The sequence below is a fragment of the Homo sapiens genome, chromosome 1 (assembly GCF_000001405.40).
Source record: "Homo sapiens chromosome 1, GRCh38.p14 Primary Assembly".
Taxonomy (NCBI): domain Eukaryota; kingdom Metazoa; phylum Chordata; class Mammalia; order Primates; family Hominidae; genus Homo; species Homo sapiens.
In genome coordinates, this window is record NC_000001.11 from 84,999,734 (window position 1) to 85,026,145 (window position 26,412).

Sequence of the window (26,412 nt, forward strand, 5' to 3'; positions counted from 1 at the left end):
AGTGTTTTATAATATGACATTTTAATTTTACAACCTAAAGTTCTTAAATTTCTCTAGCAGTTTGTCTTCATGTGGAAGTTTCACTGATTTAGTGTTAAAAGGGAAATTTTAGAAAGTAGTCTAAAAAATGTGAGATAGGCCGGACACAGTGGCTTGCACCTGTAATCCCAGCACTTTGGGAGGCCAAGGAGGGTGGATTGCTGGAGCCCAGGAGTGCAAGAATAGCATGGGCAACATAGCGATACCCTGTCTCTACCAAAAATACAAAAATTAGCTGGACATAGTGGCCCACGCCTGTGGTTCCAGCTTGCTTGGGAGGCTGAGGTGGAAGGCTTGCCTGAGCCTGGGAGGTCGAGGTTGCAGTGAGCCAAGATTGTGCCACTGCACTCCAGCCTGGGCAACAGAGACCGAGTCTAAGAAAAGGAAAAGAAAAAAAGAAAAGAAAAGAAAATGTGAGTCAGGCTAGTAGAAATGCAACAATTTAAATTTTCTAGGTTGGGCAGACAAAAAATATTTATTGTGAAGAATATGGGGAGGGAGAATAGAATAAAATAAGAGAAAAACGATGCTCTTTATTTACTTTCACATTCTTTCAAAAATTTTTTGATGTGCAAGTAGTGTTCTGTATATTGTAGATATTAATTCCTTGCCAGTTCTAAACATTATAAGTATTTTCTTCCAGTCGTCATCTATCTTTTTGTCCATGGTGTTCTTCCTTGGATGAAAGTCTTTAATTTTGGTATAGGAAATCAAAATTAAGGATATTAATCCTTATAGTTTGTGCTTTTATGATCTTTTTAAAGAAGTTGTTCTCTACCCTTAATTCACCATTCTTCTGCATTTTCTGTAATAGTTTTATCCTTCATATCAAATTCCATTGTACTTCAACTTTGCATGTGGTGGGAGATATTAATGCACCTTGATTTTTCGACATCAAGTAAGCCAGTTTCCAACAAGCTATCTTATAATTCAGGGTTGGCTAATTTTTTTTCTGTAAAAGGTCAGATACAAATATGTAGGCTTTGCGGATTGTACTTTCTCCTTTACAAATATTTAACTATCTAGTGTAAAGATAATCATACACAATATGTAAAAAAGAGAGTGGCTGTGTTCCATGTATTACAAAATATTTATTCTTATTTTAATTTTTTAAAAATAGACTCTTTTTAGAGCAGTTTTAGGTTTATTGCAAAATTTAACAGAAAGTACAAAGTTCCTATATATTCCCTGCTCCCACATACGCATAGCCTCTCCCACACTATTAACATCCTACACCAGAGTAGTACATTTGTTATAATCAATGAATATACATTGACAAATTATCACTCAAAGTCCATACTTTAGGGTTCACTTGTGTGCAGGCTCTAAGTTTTGACAAATGTATAATGACATGTATCTACCACTATAGTATCATACAGAATAGTTTCACTGCCTGCTGTGGACTGAATGTTTGTCCCCACTTTACCAATCCCCCTCCCCCACCAAAATTTATATGTTGCAACCTAAATCCCCAATGTGATGACATTTGGAGACGGGGCATTTGGGAGGTAATTAGGTCTTGAGGGTCGAACCCTCGTGAATGCAATTAGTGCCCTAGTAACCATATAAGAAAAAACAGGAGAGAGATATATCTCTTTCTCCACCATATGAGGATATAACAAGATGATGGCTGTCTGCAAACCAGGAAGAGCACCCTCAGCAGACACCAGGTGTGCTAGCACCTTGATCTTGGATTCTGTGGCCTCTAGAACTATGAGAAATCAATTTCTGTTGTTTAAGCCACCCGGTCTGTAGTATTCTGTAATAGCAGCACAAACTGATTAAAACACTACCCTAATAATCCTCTGTGCTCCTTCTATTCATCCCTCCCTCCAACCCCTGGCAACCACTCATCTTTTTACTTTCACAATAGTTTTTCCTTTTCAGATAGTTGGAATCATATGGTATTAGCCTTTTCAGATTGACTTTTTTCATTTAAGCATTTGGCATTTTTGCATTTAAGCTTCTTCTTTGTCTTCACATGGCTTGATAGCTCAATTCTTTTCAGCACTGAATAATGTTCCATTGAATTAATACATCACAGTATATTTGTTCATTCACCTACTAAAGGACATTTTGTTTTTTTCCAAGTTTTGGCAATTACAGATAAAGCTGTTATCAACATCTGTGTGCAGGTTTTTATGAACACAAGTTTTCAGTTCCTTTTTTTAAATACCAAGGAGTACAATAGCTGGATTGTATGGTAAAAGCATAGCTTTGTAAGAAACTGCCTATCTTCCAAAGTGGCTGTATTATTTTACATTTGCACCAGCAATGAATGAGAGTTCCTATTGCTCCACATACTTGCCAGTATTTGGAATTTTCAGTGTTTTGGCCATTCTAATAGGTGTGTAGTGGTATCTTGTTTTAATTTGCAATTCCCTAATGACGTATGATGTTGAGTATGTTTTCATATACTTATTTTTCATCTGTATGTCTTCTTTACTGAGGTATCTCTTCAGGTCTTTTGCTTAATTTTTAATGGGATTGTTTATTTTCCTATTGTTGAGTTTTAAGAGTTCTTTAGGCTGGGCACAGTGGCTCATGCCAGTAATCTCAACAGTTTGGGAGGCTGAGGTGGGAGGATTGCTTGAGGCCAGGAGTTCAACACCAGCCTGGGCAAAAAAGAGAGATCCTGTCTCTATGAAAGAAATTTTTTTTTAATTAGCTGGGTTTGGTGGTATGCACCTGTGGTCCTAGCTACTCGGGAGGCTGAGGCAGGAGGATTGCTTGAACCTAGGAGTTCAAGGCTGCAGTCCAGCCTGAGCAATAGAACAAAAACCTCATCTCAAAAAGAAAAATATATGAATTTTTTATATATTTTGAATAACAATACTTTTTTCAGATAAGTCTCTTGCAAGTATTTTTCTCCTAGTTTGCAGCTTGTCTTCTCTTTCTCTTGATGATATCTTTCATAGAGTAGAAGTTTTTAATTATAATAAAGACTAATTTATCAATTATTTATTTCATGGATCATGCTTTCAGTGTTGTATTTAAAAAGTCAGCCTCCAGGAAAAAAAAATGGCAGATAGGAGGCAGGACTAACTTGCATCTCCCACTCAGATGAACAGAACAGCATGTGGAGACTGACATCATGAGCTTTTGCTCCAAGAACTACCACAGGAACATACCAGGAACACTGAAAGGATTCACAGACTCTTTGAAAAAGTGGCTTGTGGCTGCAAACTCTGTGAGGCAGCTGAAAAATTGTGAGTGCCCAAAATGTGAAGGGGGAAAGCCTACCTCCGAACACACATCCTCACTGGGGAACCTGAAAATCCAGATCACGGGAGAAGGATTTAACCTTACCTAGAGCTGAAATGAATTTAGAGAGCTGAGAAAAATATAAAAGTAGAAGCAGCACTGGGAAGAGCCCTCTAGGTGCTCCCAGTCACCAGGGAAGCCATTTCTGACTTTATCTCACTGGGGTCCTTGGGGAGGGCTGCCAATGGAATTGGGGAAGGACCATAGGGAGAAGGAAACTTCCAGTTGAGCTTTGTAATAATTTTGACCAAGTGTGAATTTTCCTAGGCAGAATCCAGGAGTGGGAGATGGACGGGAAGTGCAGATAGGACCACAGAAGCAGTGGCAAGCTGGGAGAGGTAGGGCCTGAAAGCCCTGCTGGCTTTTTCAGTGGAGAGGCTTGTAGCCTGGGGCAATTAGTGCCCTAGCACCCATATAAGAAAAGACAAGAGAAAGCATTTGAGAAAACCAGTGTACTAAACAAAACTACAACCAAGGACCCTCACAGAGTCCACTTCACTCATATGCTACCTCTACTGGAGCAAGTGCTGGTATCCATGGCTGAGAGACCTGAAGACAGATCACATCACAGGACTCTTTGCAGACACTCCCCAGTACCAGCCCGGAGCCCAAGCTCCATTAGGTGGCTAGACCCACAACAGCAATAACAATCACTGTCTAGCTCTCAGGAAGCCCCATCCCTAGAGGAAGGGTGAGAGTACCACATCAAGGGATCACCCCATGGCACAAAATAATCTGAACAGCAGCCCTTGAGTCCCAGATCTTTCTTCTGACATAGTCTACCCAAATGAGAAGGAACCAGAAAAACAATTCTGGTAACATGACAAAGCAAGGTTCTTCAACACTCTCAAAAGATCACACTAGCTCACCAGCAATGGATCCAAACCAAGAAGAGATCTCTGAATTTCCAAAGAAAGAATTCAGAAGGTCAATTGTTAAGCTACTCAAGGAGGCACCAGAAAAATGTGAAAGCCAATTTAAAGAAATTTAAACAATCATACAGGATATGGACAAAAAATCTCCAGAAAAATAACACAAATAAAATACAATCAACTTCTGGAAATGAAAGACAGACTTAGAGAAATGCAAGCTACCTGGAAAGTTTCAAAAATAGAATCAAATACATAGAAGAAAGAACTTCAGAGCTTGAAAACAAGGCTTTTGAATTAACCCAATCTGACAAAGACAAAGAAAAAATAATTAAAAAATGAACAAAGCCTCCAAGAAGTTTGGGATTATGTTAAACAACCAAACCTAAGAATAATTGGTGTTTCTGAGAAAGAAGATTCGAGGCAATAATTAAGGGAAACTTTCCTGGCCTTGCTAGAGATCTAGACATCCAAATACAAGAAGCTCAAAGAACACCCGAGAAATTCATCACAAAAAGATCATCAACTAGGCACATAGTCATCAGGTTATTGAAAGTCAGGATGAATGAAGGAATCTTAAGAGCTATGAGGCAAAAGCATCAAGAAACCTATAAAGGAAAACATGTTAGATTAACCCCAGATTTCTTAGCAGAAACCCTACAAGTTAGAAGGGATTGGGGTCCTATTTTTAGCCTCCTCTAACAAAACAATTATCAGCCAAGAATTTTGTATCCAGCAAAACTAAGCTTCATAAATGAAGGAAACATAAAGTCTTTGTCAGACAAACAAATGCTGAGAGAATTAACCACTACCAAGTCAGCACTCCAAGAACTGCTAAAAGAAGTTCTAAATCTTGAAGCAAAACCTCAGAATACACCAAAATAGAATCTCCTTAAAGCATAAATCTCAAAAGACCTATAAAACAATAACACAATGAAAAGAAAAGGTATTTAGGCAACAACTAGCACGATGAATAGAATAGTACCTCACATTTCAATAACGTTGACTGTAAATGGCCTAACCACTCCGCTTAAAAGATACAGAATGGCTGAATGGATAAGAATTCACCAACCAAGTATCTGCTGTCTTCAAGAGATTCACCTAACACATAAGGACTCACATAAACTTAAGGTAAAGGGGTAGAAAAGGATATATCATGCAAATGGAAACCAAAAGTAAGCAGGACTAGTTATTCTTATATCAGACAAAACAGACTTTAAAGCAACAACACTTAAAAAAGAGGGATATTATATAATGATAAAAGGTCTAGTCCAACGGGAAAATGTCACAATCCTAAATATGTATGCACCTAATGCTGGAGCTCCCAAATTTATAAAACAATTACTACTGGACCTAAGAAATGAGATAGACAGCAACACAATAATAGTGGGGGACTTCAATACTCCACTCACAGCACTAGGCAGATCATTAAGACAGAAAGCCAACAAAGAAAAAATGGATGTAAACTATACCCTAGAACAAATGGACTTAACAGATATTACAAAACATTCTACCCAACAATTGCAGAATATACATTTTCATCAGCATATGGAACATTCTCCAAGATAGACCATATGATAGACCACAAAACAAGTCTCAATAAATTTAAGAAAATCAAAATTCTATCACGTACCCTCTCAGACCACATTGGAATAAAATTGGAAATCAACTCCAAAAGGAACTCACAAAACCATGCAAATACATGGAAATTATATAATCTGTGCCTAAATGATTGTTGAGTTGAAATCAAGGTGGAAATTAAAATATTATTTGAACTGAGCAATAATAGTGACACAACCTATCAAAACCTCTGGGATACAGCAAAAGCAGTGCTAAGAGGAAAGTTCATAGCATTAAATGCCTAAATCAAGAAGTCTGAAAAAACACAGACGATCTAAGGTCTCACCTCAAGGAAGTAGAGAAACAAGAACAAACCAAACCCAAACCCAGCAGAGGAAAGGAAATAACAAAGATCAGAGCAGAACTAGATGAAATTGAAACAAAAAAAAAATACAAAAGGTAAATGAAACAAAAAGCTGATTCTTTCAAAAGATAAAATTGATAGACCATTAGTGAGATTAACCAAGAAAAGAAGAGAGAAGATTCAAATAAGCTCAATTAGAAATGAAATGGAAGATATTACAACTGATACCACAGAAGTACAAAAGAACATTCAAGGCACAAACTAGAAAACCTAGAGGAGATGGATAAATTCCTAGAAATATACAACCCTCCTAGAAGGGCCAGGCACAGTGGCTTATGCCTGTAATCCCTGCACTTTGAGAGGCCAATGCGGGTGGATCACTTGAGGTCAGGAGTTCAAGACCAGCATAACCAACATAGTGAAATCTCATCTCTACTAAAAATACAAAAATTAGCTGGGCATCGTGGTGTGCACCTGTAATCCTAGCTACTCAGGAGGCTGAGGCAGGAGAATTGCTTGAATCCGGGAGGCAGAGGTTGCAGTGAACCAAGATCATGCCACTGCACTCCAGCCTGGGCAACAGAGTGAGACTCTGCCTCAAAGAAAAAAAAAAAAAAATATATATATATATATATATAATATATATATTTTATATGTGTGTGTGTGTGTATATGCATATGTACATATACATACATATATGTGTGTGTATATATGCATATGTACATATACATACATATATGTATGTGTATGTATATGTATGTATATGTGTATATGTACATATACATATATATACACACACACACACATATACACATATACAAACATACAAAACCATCCTAGATTAAACCAGGAAGAAATAGAAACTGAAAAGATCAATACAGACAGCGAGATTGAAATGGTAATTTTAAAATTGCCAACAAAAAAAAGTCAAGGACCAAATGGATTCACAGCTGAATTCTATCAGATATTCGAAGAATTTATATCAATCTTATTTAAACTATTTCAAAAAATAGAGAGAGGAAATCCTCCCTAATTATTCTATGAAGCAAGTATCATCCTAATACCAAAACCAAGAAAGGACATAGCAAAAAAAGGAAACTACAGACCAGCATCCCTGATGAACATAGATGTAAAAATCCTCAAAATACTAACTGAATCTAGCAGTGTATTAGTCCATTTTCACACTGCTGATAAAGACATAACCGAGACTGGGCAATTTACAAAAGAACAAGGTTCAGTGCGCTTACAGTTCCATGTGGTTGGGGAAGCCTCACAATCGTGGCAGAAGGCAAGGAGGAACAAGTCATATCTTACATGGATGGCAGCAGGAAAAGAGAGAGCTTCTGCAGGGAAACTCTCCATTATAAAACCATCAGATCTAGTGAGACTTATTCACTATCATGAGAAGAACATGGGAAAGACCTGCGCCGTGATTCAACTGTCCCCCACTGGGACCCTCCCACAACACCTGGGAATTCAAGATGAGATTTGGGTGGGGACACAGCCAAACCATATCATTCCACCCCTGGTCCCTCACAAATCTCATGTCCTCACATTTCAAAACCAGTCATGCCTTTCCAACAGTCCCCTAAAGTCTTAACTCATTTCAGCATTTACTCAAAAGTCCATAGTCCAAAGTCTCATCTGAGACAACGCAAGTCCCTTTCGTCTATGAGCCTGTAAAATCGAAGGCAAAGTAGATATTTCCTAGATATGGTGGGGGTACAGGCATTGGGTAAATACAGCCATTCCAAATGGGAGAAATTGGCCAAAACAAAGGGGCTACAGGCCCCATTCAAGTCCAGTGGGCAGTCAAATCTTAAAGCTCAAAAATGATCTCCTCTGACTCCATGTCTCACATCCAGGTCACACTGATGCAAGAGGTGGGTTCCCATGGTCTTGGGCAGCTCTGCCCCTGTGGCTTTGCAGGGTACAGCCTCCCTCCCAGCTGCTTTCACAGGCTGGCGTTGAGTGTCTGTGGCTTTTCCAGGTACACGGTGCAAGCTGTCAGTGGATCTACCATTCTGGGGTCTGGAGGATGATGGCCCTCTTCTCACAGCTCCATTAGGAGGTGCCCCAGTAGGGACTCTGTGTGGGGTTTCCGACGCCACACTTCCCTTCCACACTGCCCTCACAGAGATTCTCCATGAGGGCCCCATCCTGGCAGCAAAGATCTGCCTGGCATCCAGGCATTTCCATACATCCTCTGAAATCTAGACGGAGGTTCCCAAGCCTCAATTCTTAACTTCTGTGCACCCGCAGGCTGAATAGCATGTGGAAGCTGCCAAGACTTGGGGCTTCCACCCTCTGAAGCAACAGCCCGAACTGTTTCTTGGCCCCTTTAAACCATGCTAGAGCAGCTGGGATGCAGGACACCAAGTCTCTAGACTGCACACAGCAGAGGAACCCTGGGCCCAGCCCACAAAACCACTTTTTCCCCTAGGTCTCCGGGCCTGTGATGGGAGGGGCTGCCTCAAAGGCCTCTGACTTGCCCTGGAGACATTTTCCCCATTGTCTTGGGGATTGATATTTGGCTCCTTGTTACTTATGCAAATTTCTGCAGCCAGATTGAATTTCTCCTCAGAAAATGGGATTTTCTTTTCTATCACGTTGTCAGGCTGCACATTTTCCAAACTTTTATGTCTGTTTCCCTATAAAAACTGAATGCCTTTAACAGCACCCAGGTCACCTCTTGAATGCTTTGCTGCTTAGAAATTCCTTCCACTAGATACCCTAAATCATCTCTCTCAAGTTCAAAGTTTCACAAACCTCTAGTGCAGGGCAAAATGCCACCAGTCTCTTTGCTAAAACATAACAAGAGTCACCTTTGCTCCAGTTCCCAACAAGTTCCTCATCTCCCTCTGAGATCACCTCAGCCTGGATTTCATTGTTCATATCATTATCAGCATTTTGGTCAAAACCATTCAACAAGTCTCTAGGGAGTTCCAAACTTTCCCATATTTTCTTGTCTTCTTCTTAGCCCTCCAAACTGTTCCAGCCTCTGCCTGTTATCCAGTTCCAAAGTTGCTTCCACATTTTCTGGTATCTGTTCATCGGTGTCCCACTCTACTGGTACCAATTTACTGTATTAGTCTGTTTTCATGCTGCTGACAAAGACATAACTGAGACTGGGCAATTTACAAAAGGAAGAGGTTTAATGGGCCAGACATAGTGGCTCACGCCTGTAATTCCAACACTTTTGGAGGCCAAGGCAGGTGGATCACCTGAGGTTAGGAGTTTTAGACCAGCCTGGCCAACATGGTGAAACCCCATCTCTACTATAAAGAAAAAATACAAAAAATTAGCCAGGCATAGTGGTGGGTGCCTGTAACCCCAGCTACCTGGGAGGCTGAAGCAGGAGAATCACTTGAACCCAGGAGGCAGAGGTTGTGGTGAGCCAAGATCACTGCATTCCAGCCTGAGTGACAAGAGTGAAACTCTGTCTCAAAAAAAAAAAAAAAAAAAAGAGGTTTAATGGACTTACAGTTCCATGTGGCTGGGGAAGCCTTAAAATCATGGCAGAAGGCAAGGAGAAGCAAGTCCCATCTTACATGGATGGCACCAGGCACAGAGACAGCTTGTGCAGGGAAACTTCCCCTTATAAATGTGTCCGACCTCATGAGACTTATTTACTATCACCAGAACAGCATGGGAAAGACCTGCCCCCATGATTCAACTACCCCCAACCAGGTCCCTCCCACAACACATGGGAATTCAAGATGAGATTTGGTTGGGGACACAGTTAAACCATATCAAATAGCATATCAAAATATAATCCACCATCATCAAGTGGGTTTCATACCAGGGATGCAGGGATGGTTTAACATACGCAAGTCAATAAATGTGATACACCACATAAACAGAATTAAAAACAAAAATCAAATGATCATCTCAATAGATAAAGAAAAAGCATTTGACAAAATCCAGCATCCCTTTAGGATTAAAACCCTCAGCAGAATCAGCATACAAGGGACAAACCTTAAGCTTATAAAAACCATGTATGACAAACCCACAGCCAACATTATACTGAATGGGGAAAGTTGACAGAACTGGAGCAATACAAGGATGCCCACTTTCACCATTTCTATTCAACATAGTTCTGGAATTCCTGACCAGAGCAGTCAGACAAGAGAAAGAAATAAAGGGCATCCAAATCGGTAAAGAGGAAGTCAAACTGTCACTGTTCACTGATGATATGATCATATACTTAGAAAACCCTAAAGACTCATCCAAAAAGCTCCAAGATCTAATAAATGAATTCAGTAAAGTTTCAGGATACAAAATCAATGTACACAAATCAGTAGCCCTGCTATACAACAGTGACCATGCTGAGAATCAAATCAAGAACTCAACCTCTTTTACAATAGCTGCAAAAAATTTTTTAAAATTAGGAATATACTTAACCAAGAAGGTGAAAGACCTCTACAAGGAAAACTACAAAACACTGCTGAAAGAAATCATAGATGACACAAACAAATGGAACCACATCCCATGCTCATGGATGGGTAGAATCAATATTGTGAAAATGACCATACTGCCAAAAGCAATCTACAGATTCAATGTTATTCCCGTCAAAATACCAGCATCATTCTTCACAGAACTAGAAAAAAAATCCTAAAATTAATATGGAACCAAAAAAGATCCTACATAGCCAAAGCAAGACTAAGCAAAAAGAACAAATCTGAAAGCATCTTATTACCCGACTTCAAACTATACTATAAGGCTATAGTCACCAAAACAACATGGTACTGGTATAAAAATAGGTACATAGACTAATGGAACAGAATAGAGAACCCCGAAATAAAGCCAAATAGTTATAGCCAGCTGATCTTCAACAAAGCAAACAAAACCATAAAGTGAGGAAAGAATACTCTACTCAACAAATAGTGCTGGGATAATTGGCAAGCCACATGTAAAAGAATGAAACTGGATTCTCATCTCTCACCTTATACAAAAAATCAACTCAAGGTGGATCAAAGGCTTAAATCTAAGACTTGAAACCGTAAAAATTACAGAAGATAACATTGGAAAAATGCTACTAGACATTGGCTTAGGCAAAGACTTCATGACCAAGAACCCAAAACAAAAGCAACAAAAACAAAGATAAATAGATGGGACTTAATTAAACTAAAAAGTTTCTGCACAGTGAAAGAAACAATCAGCAGAGCAAACAGACAACCCACAGAGTGGGAGAAAATCTTTGCAATCTGTGCATCTGACAAAGGACTAATACCCAGACTCTACAAGAAACTCAAACAGATCAGCAAGAAGAAAACAAATAATCCTGTCAAAAATTGGGCTAAGGACATGAACAGACAATTCTCAAAAGAAGATATACAAATGGCCAACAAACATATGAAAAAATGCTGAACATCACGAATGATTAGGGAAATACAAATCAAAACCACAATGCAATACCACCTTATTCCTGCAAAAATGGCCATAATAAAAAAATAATAGATGTTGGCGTGGATTTGGTGAAAAGGGAACACTTTTACACTGCTGGTGCTGAATGTAAACTAGTACAACCACTATGGAAAAACAGTATGGGGATTCCTTTTTTTTTTTTTTTTTTCTTTTCTGAGACAGGGTCTTGCTCTGCCACCCAGGCTGCAGTGCAGTAGTGTGATCTCAGCTCACTGCAACCTCTGCTTCCCAGTTTCAAGCTATTCTTCCACCTCAGCCTCCCAAGTAGCTGGATTTACAGGCACATGCCACCATGCCCCGCTATTTTTTTTTTTTTTTTGTATTTTTAGTAGAGATGGGGTTCTGCCATTTTGACCAGGCTGGTCTTGAACTCCTGACCTCAAGTGATCCACCCACCTCAGCCTCCCAAAGTGTGTGAGTCACTGCACCCAGTCTGAATTCCTTAAAGAACTAAAAGTAGATCTACCATTTGATTCAGCAATCCCATTACTGGGTATCTAACCAGAGGAAAAGAAGTCATTATACGAAAAAGGCACTTGTACATGCATGTTTATAGCAGAACAATTCACAATTGCAAAAATATGGAACCAGCTCAAATGCCCATCAATCAACGAGTGGATAAAAAAATGTGATATATATACAATAGAATACTACTCAGCCATAAAAAGGAAAGAAATAATGGCATTTCCAGCAACCTGGATGGAGTTGGAGACCATTATTCTAAGTGAAGTAACTCAGGAATGGAAAACAGAACGTTGTATGTTCTCTCTCATAAGTGGGAGCTAAGCTATGAGGGCACAAAGGCATAAGAATGATACAATGGGTTTGGGGACTCAGGAGAAAGGGTGGGAGGTGGTGAGGGATGAAAGACTACACATTGGGTACAGTGTACACTGCTCGAGTGGTGGGTGCACCCAATCTCAGAAATCACCACTAAAGAAATTATCCATGTAACCAAACACTATCTGTTCCCCAAAAGCCTATTGAAATATTAAAAGGTGAAAAAAAAGAAATATTCAAATAGTGGCTTGAATAAACTGTTTTTAAGAAAAAAAAAAAGGTGGGGGCTGGGCGCGGTGGCTCATGCCTGTAATCCCAGCACTTTGGGAGGCCAAGGCAGACAGATCACGAGGTCAGGAGATCAAGACCATCCTGGCTAACACGGTGAAACCCTGTCTCTACTAAAAATACAAAAAAAAAAAAATTAGCTGGGCGTGGTGACAGGCACCTGTAGTCCCAGCTACTCGGGAGGCTGAGGCAGGAGAATGGCATGAATCCGGGAGGCAGAGCTTGCAGTGAACCAAGATTGCGCCACTGCACTCCAGCCTGGGTGACAGAGCAAGACTCCGTCTCAAAAAAAAAAGAAAAAGAAAAAAAAGGTAATTGCCAAACCCAAGGTCATATAGATTTCCTCCTGTGTTATTATCTAGGAGTTTTTACTTTCCAACTTTCATTTACATCTATGATTTATTTTGACTTAATATTTGTAAAGAGTGAAAGGTCTGTGTCTAGGTTCGTGTTTTTACGTGTGGATGTCCAGTTATTACCATACTATTTATTAAACAGACTATCTTCTCCATTGTATTCTCTTTACTCCTTTGTCAAAGATCAGTGGACTATATTAATGTGGGTATATTTCTGGGCCCTCTATTCTTGTTTTAAAAACAGGATCTCACTCTGATGCCCAGGCTGGAGGCTGGAGTGCAGTGGCATGACCTCGACTCACTGCAGCCTGGATCTCCTGGGCTCAAGCAACCCTCCCACCTCAACCTCTCAAGTAGCTGGGACTACAAGCACACACCACCACACCCGGCTAATTTTTGTATTTTTTATAGAGATGAGGTTTTGCCATGTTGCCCAGACTGGTCTCAAACTCCTGGGCTCAAAGCAATCCACCCACCTTGGCATCCCAAAGTGTTGGGATTACAGGCATGGGCCACTGCGCTGGCCCCTGGGTTCTCTATTCTGTTGCATTGATCTTCTTATCTATTCTTTCACCAATACCTTGATTAGTGTAGTTGTTTGTTTGTTTGTTTTTTTGAGATGGAGTTTCACTCTTGTCACCTAGACTGGAGAGCAATGGCACGATCTCAGCTCACTGCAACCTCTGCCTCCCAGGTTCAAGTGATTCTCCTGTCTCAGCCTCCCGAGTAGCTGGGATTATAAGCACCTGCCACCATGCCCAGCTAATTTTTTTTGTATTTTTAGTAGAGACAAAATGGGTTATGGGTTTCACCATGTTGGCCAGGTTGGTCTCGAACTCCTGACCTCAGGTGATCCACCCACCTCGGCCTCCCAAAGTCCTGGGATTACAGGCGTGAGCCACTGTGCCCAGCCGATTACTGTAGTTTTATAGTAAGTCTTCACATCAGGCAGTGTTTTTTTGGTTTTTTTGTTTGTTTTTTGTTTTGTTCCTCTCCTTCAAAATTGTGTTGTCTATTCTGGTCTTTTGACTCTCCATATAAACTTTAAAATCAGTTTTTTTATATCCACAGAATAACTCCCTTGGGTCTTCATGGGGGTCGTGTTGATTTATAGATCAAGTTTGGAAGAACTGACATCTTGACAATATTGAGCCTTCTTATTCATAAACATGAAATATCTCTCCACCTATTTAGTTCTTTGATTTCTTTCATCAGAGTTTTACAGTTTTCTTCATATAGAATTTCTACATATTGTTAGATTTATAGCCAAGTGTTTCATTTTGGGGGATATTTCTACAAATGGTATTGTGTTTTTAATTTCAAATTATAATTGTTCATTGCTGATATACAAGAAAGTGATTGACTTTTGTGTATTAACCTTGTATCCTATAATCTTGTTATACTTATTAGTTCCAGGAGTTTTTAATTCTCTCAGATTTCCTACATAGACAATCATGTCATCTCAAAGACAGTTTTATTTCTTCTTTCCCAACCTGAACACCTTTTATTTCCTTTTTGTATTTTATTGCATTAGCTAGAACTTCTAGTATGATGTTGAAAAGGAGTGTTAAGAGGGGACATCCTTGCCTTGTCGCTGATCTTAGCATAAAAACTTCTAAGTTTCTCATCATTAAGTGTGATGTTAACTCTAGGTTTTTTTTGTAGATGTTCTTTATGAAGTTGAAGATGTTCCCCCTTTTTCCTAGTTTGCTGAGGGCTTTTTCATGAATGGATGTTAGATTTTTTTTAAATGCTTTTTGTGTATGTATTGACATGATCATGTGATATTTTTTCTTCAGCCTGTTGATGTGAGGGATTACATTAATTCAGGTTTGAATGTTGAATCAGCCTTGCTACCTAGAATAAATCCCACTTGCTTGTAGTATATAATTTTTTTCATACATTGTTGAATTTGATTTGCTAATATTTTTGTTGAGGATTTTTGCATCTATGTTCATAAGAGATCAACATCTTTAGTTTTCTTTTCTTATAATCTCTCTCTGGTTTTGATATTAAGTTAATGCTGGTCTCACAGAATGATTAGGATGTATTCTAATTCTGTCTTCTGGAAGAAATTATACAGAATTGGTATTTGTTCCTTAAATGTTTAGTAGAATTCACCCGTAAAACCATCTGGGCCCAGTGCTGTTTTGGAAGGTTATTCATTATTGATTCCATTTATTTACTAGAATCTTATTCAGATTGTTTGTTTATTCTTGTGTTAGTTTTGTCAATTGGCAATTGTGTCTTTGAAGGAATTGGTCCATATCATCCAGGTTTTCAAATTTGCAGGCATAGATTTGTTCATATATTCTTTTATTATCCATTGAATGCCCATGGGATAGGTAGTGATGCTCCCTCTTTCATGTCTAGTATTAGTCATTTGCATCTTCCCTCTTTTTTCTTAGTTAGCTTGGCTATAGGCTTACTGATTTTATCTGTCTTTTCAAAGAACCAGCTTTTGGTTTTGTTGATTTTCTCCACTGATTTCCTGTTTTCAATTTCATTAATTTCTGCTATAATTTTTATTTTTTTCTACTTCCTTTGGATTTAACTTGCTCTTCTTTGTCCATTTTCTAAGGTAGAAGCTTAGGAGATTGATTTTTACATCTTTCTTCTTTTCTAATATATGCATTCAATGCTATAAATTTTCCTCTAGGCACTGCTTTTACTGTTTCCCATAATTCTTGATCATTTGTGTTTGCATTTGTATTTAGTTCAAAATAATTTTTAATTTCTCAAGATTTCTTTCTTTCTTTTTTTGAGACAAGGTCTCACTCTGTTGCTCAGGCCAGAGTGCAGTGGCACAATCATGGCTTACTGCAGCCTCGACTTCCTGGGCTCAAGTGATCCTCCTGCCTCAGCCTCTGGATATTTCTTCTTTGACCCATGTGTTTTTTAGATTCTATTAGACTTTCTATGTAGATTATAATATCTGCAAATAATGAGTTTTACCTTTTTTGTTCTAATCCATACACCTATTTGTATGTATTAATTTAATTTGAAAATAGTGTGGTGGGATAAAAAAATTAAAACTCAATATGTATTAGATAATTTAAAACTTTATTGAGTGAAAAAAGAAAATGGCATCTGAATTGTTTAAAAAAATGTAACAGCAAAATCAATGTCTGCACAAAAATGATTTTTACAGACACAAATACTAAAATATCCACGTTGATATCTATAAGCCCATTTTCTTGGTGTTTCTCTCTTGACTACTGTGGTTTCTCTCTTGAGTGATAGAAGACCATTCTGAATACTGAGACTTATAAACAACTTATTTGTAGCCCAACAAAGGGATTTATCTGTTCCTGGTTGAGCTCTGGGCCCTGCAGCCACCACAAACCACTTGTGTCAGAATCACTTTGTGTGCTGGCTAAAAATGGCAGATTCCTGGCCTCCCCCAGGACATGATGAATAAGAATCTGTGCTTAGGCTTTGATAAAGAGAAAGACAAAAAGAGAAAGAGAAAGATAAAGAAAAGAGAGAAAGAAAGAAAGAAAGAGGAGAGAGAGAGAATATGAATATCTCTGCTGGTATTACCTGTACATTCATGATTTTAACAAGATCCCCCAGTGGGCCGGGCATGGTGGCTCACACCTATAATTCCAGCACTTTGGGAGGCTGATGTGGGCAGATCACTTGAGGACAGGAGTTCAAGACCAGCCTGGCCCACATAGCGAAACCCTGTCTCTACTAAAAATACAAAAAAAATAGCCAGGCATGGTGGTGTGTGCTTGTAGTTTCAGCTACTCTGGAGGCTAAGGCACAAGAATCGCTTGAACCTGGGAGGCGGAGGTTGAAGTGAGGTGAGATTGCTCCACTATACTCCAGCCTCCAGCCTGGGAAACACAGCAAGACTCTATCTCAAGAAAAAAAAAAAAAAATCCCCTTATGCTTACAACCCTGAAAATCATTATGGCAGGAGGAGGGGACAGAGAATCTGACTTCCAGAAAAAGGGGGTATCATCGACAAAAATCCAGCCCTGATTTCCTGGGATAAGAAGACTAGAAGCCTGGAAGAAAAGTGACTTCCATTCTATGTTCTTTCTTACAACTGCCTTGACATTCTCTATGATACATATATACATGTAAGGAGAGCTCTAAAATGGCCCATAATTTATCTGCCTACCCAGATCAAGCCATTGTACTGGTTTGAGGACAGTTCAAAAAAGTCAGTCAGTGCTATTTCTTTCAGTAGACAGAAGAGCTATTCTCTCATGGACATCATTACTAAAAATTAAGCCTTGGAATTTATCAGGGACTCCTGCCACAATAAGAGAGCCTGGAGAAATAGGAGAGAGATGTGAAGGCAGCAAGTCATTGGCTGTGATTCTACAGAAGAAATATAATGACTTCAGAGCAAAGCAAAACTCCAGGCCCAACACTGCGTCAGTGTTTTCATGTTTCCATTGAAGTACTGTTAGTCTAAAAATCTCAAAAGATGTAAAGAAAAGGACTTATCAGATAATAAACATGATTTCAAAACTCACATAGAATTCTAGTAATTTCTAAAAGTGATAGTATTATAAATATTAGAACTGCCCCCAAAATAGTCACTTAGATATTTAGATTTTTTTTTTAAAGCCTCAGGTACTTCAGAAACAGCTTATACCTGTTATAAAACCTCCCATTTCAACACCTGGAGTCATTATTATGACTGTCATTATAATTAAATAATAAAAATCTCAGTAAAACAAAATTAGAAATTTAAAAATCAGTTTTTTTAAAAAAAGTTTGCTTTGAGAAGATCTTTACTGCACATAACTGAATTCACTTCTATTTGAATAAATAGTAAACACAATAAATATTCATGTGTTGAAAGTCCCTGCAATTCTCAATTAGCAGTCTATAAGGGGTAGAGACTATTATGTCTTTTTACAGCACACATTTATCTTATCTTAAAATTTTAAGCATAATTATTTTCACATATATATATGTGTGTACATATTTGAGACAGAGTCTCACTCTGTCACCCAGGCCAGAGTGCAGTGGCATGATCACAGCTCACTGCTGTTGACTTCCTGGGCTCAAGCAATCCTCCTGCCTTAGCCTCCCAAGTAGCTGCGACTATAGGCGTGTACCACCACGCCCGGTTAGTTTTTTCTGTTTTTTTTGTAGATATGAGTCTCACTATGTTGCCTAGGCTGGTCTCAAACTCCTGGGCTCTCGCAATCCTCCTGCCTTGGCCTCCCAAAGTGAGGTATTACAGGCATGAGCCACTGTGCATAGCCCCGAAATATTTTTAATGTGAGTTATAGAACCTTGCCCCATAAAACCACAGCCTCTCACCCCAAAACACTTCGCTGTGAGACATAATGTGCCTATGAAAGGTATAGTACATCACTAGTTTTAACAGGCTGCTCAAGTACTAATAAAATAATAATTACTTCATCAAAAATGCATTTGGTATATGCTTTAATTTCATGCATGTATAAGATACTCTTTTTACTTTCTACTTTAACACTGAAGGAGGATAGAAAACTTGTAAATGAGTATTTAAAAGCCTGATCCTCTTAAGAACTAAAAGCAGAATCAAGTAACAGTTGGCTTTCATAACCAAATACAGTCATATGCTGGATAACGATGTTTTGGTCAATGATGTACCGCATATACAATGGTGGTCCCAGAAGATTATAAAACCATATTTTTACTGTCCCTTTTCTATGTTTAGATACTTACCATTGTGTTACAATTGCCTACTGTATTCAATACAGTAACATGTTGTACAGATTTGTACCCCAGGACCAACAGGCTATACCAAATAGCCTAGGTGTGTAGTAGGCTATACCATCTAGGTTTGTGGAAGTACATGCTATGATGTTTAATGACAAAATCGCCTAATGACACATTTCTCAGAACATATCTCCATCCTTAAGTGACATATGGCCGTATCACATTGTTAGCTGGTGCGCTCTTATTCTGGTGCGCTCTTATTCTGGTGCACTCTTATTCTTCCTTTCAAGAGAAGATTTTAAAATGCAATGATTACTGTATAAATGATAACTACACCCACTCTCTCAAGGATGGACTCCTGAGAGTGGTCCAAGCCAGGGTTACTGAGTTGTCCAAAGTCACAGTCAGACCAAGGATTGTTTTCCACTAATTACACAGTCTGCACAATCAGAATAGCAGGAGCAACAGTATCAGAGCAAAAGAGAGGCATACAGAATACATTCTAAAGCCATGGCAAAATAAACAAGAAATAATAATAATCCAATAGCTTTCCTCATTAAAGTTTTTTTAAAAACAATCCCAGCATAAAGTTGCAAAGACATTAAATATTGCTTTTAAAAATATAAACAGTTATTGGTGAATTATAGGTCTCAATTAGCTCAAAATAACAGTCTTCAAACATACTACATCTGATCTCAGAATATCCACAGTGTTCCAACTCAGCTACACATTATATTTTCCTCTAAAGTACAGATAAACCTGATAGCTACTTTTTACAACAGCAGAATAAAGATACTGGAGGGTCATCTTCTAATCTGTATTTTCCAGAGTTGGGTAGATCTTTGCATTCTGATATAAATGTACGAAGTTCAGTCTCTGGGAAGCCATCTTGTTGGTATTGCTAAACAGAAGAATGTTAAAAAGCTTTTATTAATAAGCTCCTTGAAAACAGCTTCATTCCAAATTCAAAATGGATCATTTGGCAAGGGAGGGGGTTTTCTAGAGAGATAGTATCGTTACTCCTGAGTACCTGCAAAGGAGATGTAGCCTCTAGAGTCACTCAGGTTTGGCGGAGGTAAAGTGGGCCTGGGATTCTGCAGCTGCCTACCTGAGCTCTCTTTCTGGGTCCACTGAAACCCAAATGGGCACACTGAGTCGAAGTCTGAGTCGTCCTTCCAGGGAGAATTGAGCTAGCCCCATCCCAAGTCCGAGAACCTCTGTCACTACTCTGCCCTGCAGGCCTGTGACTTCCAGACCAGTGTGATGCAGGCATTTTTGAAGGAACATGGTTCAGGCCACAAGAAGCCCAGTGGATCTAAATTAACAAGGTTTTCTAGTAGGCCAAGGGATGGAAATCCCTGGCCTTGCCCAGAACACCTCAGCACAGTCTTGGACTCTCTCGAGTTGGCCCAAGTGTCTGGACAAAGGTCTGAATGCTGTAAGGGACCTTTCCAATCTGCACACCCTTTTGGAGTCAGTCTTCCAGCCAGGCAAGTTTGTTTAAGGGCCTCATATTTATATCGGTTTGGGACCTAAAATTTCTAGGACATGCCATGATTAGAAAGGATCAGAAGTAACTTAGCTTGCCCATTTGGCAAGTGCTCTGAGCCCACGGAAAGAGGTTAGCGTCTAAAATACGAGTTTCAGGCTTATGTCATCAAAGGTGAAAACCCATGTTATCCTTAGAGCTCTCAGATGTCACCCTCGAATAACACACAGTTCTCTGCATGCAGAGTTGGAGGCAGTGAACTTTTAGAGCACCATTTGGAGGGATCTGAAGTTACAACTACATTCTTTCCCAGTTGCCTTGGTGATCCTAAGGACACATCTGCTAAGCAGATGAGAGCAAAGAGGACATTCGGTCCCTGAAATCTTGTTCAGTGAGGATGAAGTCACAGCCCTGGCTTCATGAGCAAAGTATTCATCATTATCAGCTTCAAACCAAGGCGTTCTCTTTATCCCTAGGGCCAATCACATGGCTTCATGTTTCTTTATCCCTCTCATACCCAGAAAGAAAAGTCCCCAAGTGGAAGTGTCTATGCCACAAATACACCTAACAGTATAAGTTATGGAAATTGAAACATATATGGATATTTATTCTGCCTTTCCATATTTCAACAGGCTCAAATTGATTTTTAAAAGATTTTATATGAATGACAATAGCTTTTCAGTTCAGGTATCTGACTGTATAAAGCTACATGCTAGTACTGGACCCATTAATCCTTTTGCTATTCTGGAGGCTGGGCCCCTGGGCTTGTGCCCTGCAGGGCCTTGCAAAGAAAATGGGCTCAGTTACAGTACACTCAAAACAAAGGGGTCAATTTTTCTTTATGAAAATTGGAGTTTTTATGTTCCCCACAATATTTTGGCTTTCTGAAATGCCATATGTTTTATTCACACAATATCTACTAACCCTTATAATTCTTTATTTAGTTTTTTACTCTTTGCCCCCCAGACTTCTAATGACCCTTATAATTCTAATAAAAGGTTAGAAAGCTTGTGTGAGAAAGTATAACTACTTAGAGACTAAGACTTTCAACATTCAATTTTTCCACTAGTTCTATTTATCAATTTCTAAAAATAAGGTCCTTTTTCTCTATCCTGAAGAAATTAACATTCCATCAACTTTTCTTCTACCATTAGGTACTGAATTTTACTGCTACTCTACAAGTTATAGGACAATGCTACTACTTATGGCTCTTGATAAACCTACCTTAATTGTTTCGTATGTATCAGTGATCAGTGCAATGAAAAGACTTAAAATCATATATATAAAGAGGCTGATGAATGAGTAGAGGTAAATTCTACTAAACAGCCAGACTAAGTAACTTTTTTGCTGCATTTTTGCAAACGTGGCAAACATATCATCTCCATTTATCAGAGAGAAAAGGCACTCAGAGACCATGTTCAGAGAACGAAACTGGAAAAAGAAAAGAGAAAAGTTCACTTTATTCCATGTTCCTTCCCATTGGAGACCTTTGTTCATGACATTGTATTAAACATAAAGGGACCAGATAACCCAAGCTACCATTTTCAAACAAATAACCTGAGGTAACCACACACATTTGCTTTGTGATGCATATAACATAAATAAGCCTACTATTTTTTCCTGAGACAAGCAGCTTTCTCTTAAACTAGCCTAAATCAAATGTAGGAGCTGCTCTGCACCCTCAGTGCTTTTTTGAATCAAGCCTTGCATCTGCCCTTTACCTTAAAGAGACCTTGAAATGCCTGTGCAGAGATACCCAGGTCCCAACCATGCATGCTCATACATCTCATTTTAAAGTTCATTTCATTTAAGATAAGAGCATAATATTCCAGACTATAGCTCTAGTAATAAAATTTTCAAATATTTCTACAAGTTTCCCCCTATGCTACTTTTTAAATAATGTCACATTTTGAGAAGGCTTATCTGAAGAGACTGCTTTTGGATATATCGATGAATCAAATTGACTAAACTTGACTTCACTGGTGGTAAACGGGACTTAATTACCTGATATATTGCAAGAAAGAATGTGAGACAGTTGAGTACATCAAATATTCTCTCAAGCTGGTCACACCCTTTCACTTTATAAATATGGCACTAGATATACTACCTTCAACATTTTAAGGCTGAATCACAAAATAAAAGGAGTTCATTGAAAAAGGATAACAAGCCACTGGCACTATGCTAAAAGCTTAATAGTAACAGGAAAAAAGTTGTTTATCAGTACCTTGTCATGGTAAGGCCCCAGCACGATCCATCCACAGAAGCAGTAACCTAAGTAAATCATAGCTGCACAGCAGCAGAACCTGATGACATTGGGCAGCGCTGCCTGAAGGGTCAAAATGAGGAGCTGGGAAAGTAAGAGAGGCCATTAGAATGGTTTTGTCCTTTAGCCAAAGCAGTGCAATAACTTTGAGAGAAATACCAACAGCATGGAGATCCGTGGAATTCCTTACGTTGTACTTTGCAAAGAAACCGAGGTATCGGATGACTCCAAGCCACACGAGCATGGTAGAAGTCCCAAGAAGTATGCTACAGACATCATAACTAGTTAGACTCTAAGAGAGAGTGGAAAAATATAATCAGATTATAAAGCAGAAATTCATTTGGCAATAAATATTGAGGTAAGTATGAGTAAGGCACTGTTTTAGGTGCTAAGGATAAAGCAGTGAACAAACAAAAGTCTCTGCTCTCATAAAGCTTACATTCTAGTGGAGGGAAGAAAGAGACAACAGAAATAAGTTAATAGAAACTTTGGGACACTTGCTGCTGATAATTGCTGAAGAGAAAATTCAGAGGAGGGGATAAGGAATGGGTATGGGTTTGTCATTTTACATACACTAAAAAGAAGGCATTTGAGCAAAGATCTGAAGGGAGGGAGGGAGAAGTCATGCAAAAATCTAGGGGAGAAGCCTTCCAGGCACAGGGACTGGCAAGTGCAAAGGCCCTGAGACAGGAGGGTGCTTGGCAAGGATATTGCATCTGGCTGGAGTGAGCAATAGAAAGGGTATACAGTTATAGAGATAAGGTGGCACTCACCAAGTTTGTCTTTTACTGTAACTCAATTGGGGAGATTTGAGAACCACAAACAGAAGTGATATGATCAGATGTTGGCTGCTGTGGTTGACAGCAGGTTGTTGGAGGAGTGAGGATGCTATTGCAATAATATAAATGAGAGATAGTAGCTTGGACCAGGCTGGTAATAGTGGAGTTGACCAGGTGATTTTTATTCTTTTTTTTTTTTTTTTTTTTTTGGAAACAGGGGTCTCACTCTGTCACCCAGGCTGGAGTGCCGTGGCACAATTGTGGCTCAATGCAGCCTCGACTTCCTGTGCTCAAGAAATCCTCCCACCTTAGCCTCCCAAGTAGCTTGGATTACAGACACATGCCACCTTGACTGCTAATTTTTTTAATTTTTTGTAGAGATGGGGTCTCACTATGTTTCCCAGGCTGGTCTGGAACTCCTGGGCTCAAGCCATCCTCCCGCCTCAGCCTCCCAATGTGCTGGGATTATATGAGTCACAGTGCCTGGCCAATGAAGGTAGAACAATAGGATTTCCTCTTGGATTAGATGTGGGAAAGAAGAGATTAGTGAAAGAGAGGAGTCTGTGATGAATCCAAGATTTTTGGCTTGAGTAACTGATGAGAGTTACCATTAACCGAAATTTGAAAGGCTATGGGAAAAGCAGGTTTTGACTGCAGAGGTGGGGGCTTTAGATGTTCTGTTTTAGGTGTGTTAAATTTGAGAGGAAAAGCAGACATCCAAGTGGAGATATAGACTAAATGGTGGATATGCGAATCTGGAGTTCAGGGAAGAATTCTAAGTGGGGGTATAGATTTGGGAATCATTGGCATATAGATACTAAGCTGTGGGACAGGATGAGATTACCAAGACAGTGGCAGAAAAGAGAAGATGTCCAAGCACTATGCCTTGAAGCATTATCACCTTAATAGGTTGGTGAGATGTGAGGGAACCAGCAAAGTCAGAAGACCAGCCAGTGACTTAGGAGGAAAACCAGGTGATAGTCCATTGAAAGCATGTCAACAAAAAGGGAGTGCTTGGCAGTATTCAAAGCTGCTGCTAGGTCAGCATGAGGGTACATAGTTGGTTATTGGACTTATCAGCATGAGAGGACACTGAAAAGAACACTTTCCTTGGAGTGGCAGGGCAGCCTGATTGGAACAGACACCGAAAGAATGAGATTTTGGGGGGCTGTGAGGTGGGAGGATTGCTTGAGCCCGGGAGTTTGAGGCTGCAGTGAGCTATAATCGCGCCACTGCACTCCAGCCTGGGCAATAGAGTGAAATCCTGTCTCTTAAAAAAAACAGGTGGGGGAGGGGAGGAGCAGAATCAGAAACAACAAGATTAACTACTTTTTTGAGATATTTTACTAAATAAATGATGGTAGTAAGTTAGCGGGAGGAATTAGGGTTGAGATATTATCTCTTAAGAAAAGCGGCAAAAACATGCTAATGGGAATGACCTGGTAGACAGAAGGAAACTGATGATCCCCAAGAGAAGGAAAACTACCTGGAGCTGTGCCCTTGAATAAACAAGTGGTGATGGCCTCTAGTAGGCAGGTGGAGGGGTTGGCCCTGAATAGTGGCCTAAATAATGTATCCACAGAAGAAAAGCACAGTATATTGGCACTGATGGCAGGAGGCAGATAAATTAGGTGGGGGTTTGTGGAAATTCTGTTTTTTTTTTCTATTATTTTTGTGAAATAGGAAGTAAGGTCATCAGCTTAGAATGAGGATAGGACAAGGGTATTAGAGGTTTCAGAAGAGAAGAAAACATGATATGATCATCTATGAGGCAGAGACGGTGAATGGTCTAGAAAGATATTTTGTTGGATACCATTTAGGGTTCACTGAAATTAATGATAGTTGAGGTTGGTAAAAATAAAGATTTGCTGCAAATCTCTCCCCTTACTCCTTTTTTTGTTTTGGTTTTTTATTTGTCCCTAAAGTTAAACATCTATTCCAATGATACATACTATAGCCACATATAGTGGCAGCTGCTAAGTGTCAACCTAAACCCATTCTCCCCTTCCTAGGCACATGCCTGGGCTGTGTTCCCTGGCTCCCTCTGCAGTTAGGATTGACTAAATTCTATCCAGTGGGATATGTACAGAAATAAAGTCGGCCACTCTTGAGCCAAGCCATCAGTCTATGGGAGAGCTTCTACCATACCGTGTTTTTGCTTCCCATAAGCTGCAACCTGTTTGAGGCAACACGGCAATAATCATGCAGTCAGGGCAAGTCCTTAAGGGGTGGCAGAGAAACAAAATGGGAGGAACATGGGTGCCTGAATGACTGTGAGATGTTGAGCTACTCACCAGTCTGTAAAACCCATTCTGACTATTGCATAAGACAGAAATAAGCTCCTATCTTCTCTGAGCCATTGCATTTGGGGTCTCTGCCCAGGTTTATAACCAACTCCCCAGGTGACTCAATCAGTTGCATCAAGACTAGGGAAACATAAGTTTGAGCAAGATTAGTCTGAACACTATTAGTTTTTTTAATGTGATTTTTATTTTGTGGGGACAGTTGATTTTTAGGCTAGGTTAGTCTTAAAATAAATAAGCTTGTAGCACATCAATGGTAAAGTAAGAAAATGGGAGCATTCTCACTTTGAATGGACGGAGGAAACAAATGCAAGCATGCACACCATAGTGCCTTGACCTCACTTTCCCCTATAGCCCCACTCATTTTTGTTAAAGATTCGAGCATTTCTTGTAAGATTAAAAAAAAAAAAAAAACTCTTACCTTAGTTACCTTGGTTGTGTATGAATTTTGGTGTGTGTAAGAATTCACAGGCCCCGCCGAAGAGTCTGAATTCAGTAGGTCTAACATGGTACACTTTACCAGGCACCCAATGATTCTGATGCAATGGTTTGTGGATCACACTTTGAAAAACTCTGCCTAAGAGACCTCCTGACTAGATTTAAGAAAATTACCATTACCAATTTCAAGTCTACTTGATATACAGTTTGGAAGAAACAATTCATTCTGAAAATTCTTACATTCTGGAAAAATACATTACCATTAGTGCAAATCTGACACTAACAATAGCATGATTAGGAAAAAAATTACCTTAGCTTGGATTTCCATTTTTAGAATTGATCCAATGATTGTCAATATGTCACTAATAATAATCATAATGTACCATCCATTGACAAATTCCATTTGATCAGAAACAGAAACTTCCTTCTTATAATGGAGGAGGAAAAAATTGACAAACTCCTTTAGGGAAAAGAGGGGAGGCACAGTGAATGTCTCTGTCAATCAAAATGTCAGTAG

The 26,412-nt window shown here is 39.3% G+C and overlaps 1 protein-coding gene across 8 annotated transcripts in view; it reads right to left on the reverse strand.

Annotated features, from left to right (window-relative positions):
* Nucleotides 1–18,348: 18,348 nt before the first annotated feature.
* The window catches only part of MCOLN3 (mucolipin TRP cation channel 3), a 30,419-nt gene continuing 22,355 nt past the window's right edge, over nucleotides 18,349–26,412 (reverse strand). For 6 of the 8 annotated variants that reach the window (NM_001253693.2, NM_018298.11, XM_005271003.2 and 3 more), the window contains 5 exons: nucleotides 26,206–26,355; nucleotides 22,566–22,667; nucleotides 22,337–22,459; nucleotides 21,337–21,543; nucleotides 18,349–19,524 (listed from right to left, as the gene is read on the reverse strand). In NM_001253693.2, coding sequence (NP_001240622.1) covers nucleotides 19,390–19,524; nucleotides 21,337–21,543; nucleotides 22,337–22,459; nucleotides 22,566–22,667; nucleotides 26,206–26,355 — 717 coding nt within the window. In that variant the 3' untranslated portion in view covers nucleotides 18,349–19,389. Of the gene's footprint in view, nucleotides 19,525–21,336; nucleotides 21,544–22,336; nucleotides 22,460–22,565; nucleotides 22,668–24,823; nucleotides 26,051–26,205; nucleotides 26,356–26,412 lie in introns of those variants that run through there. The other 2 variants (XM_011541741.3, XM_047424402.1) reach the window with 2 other exon arrangements.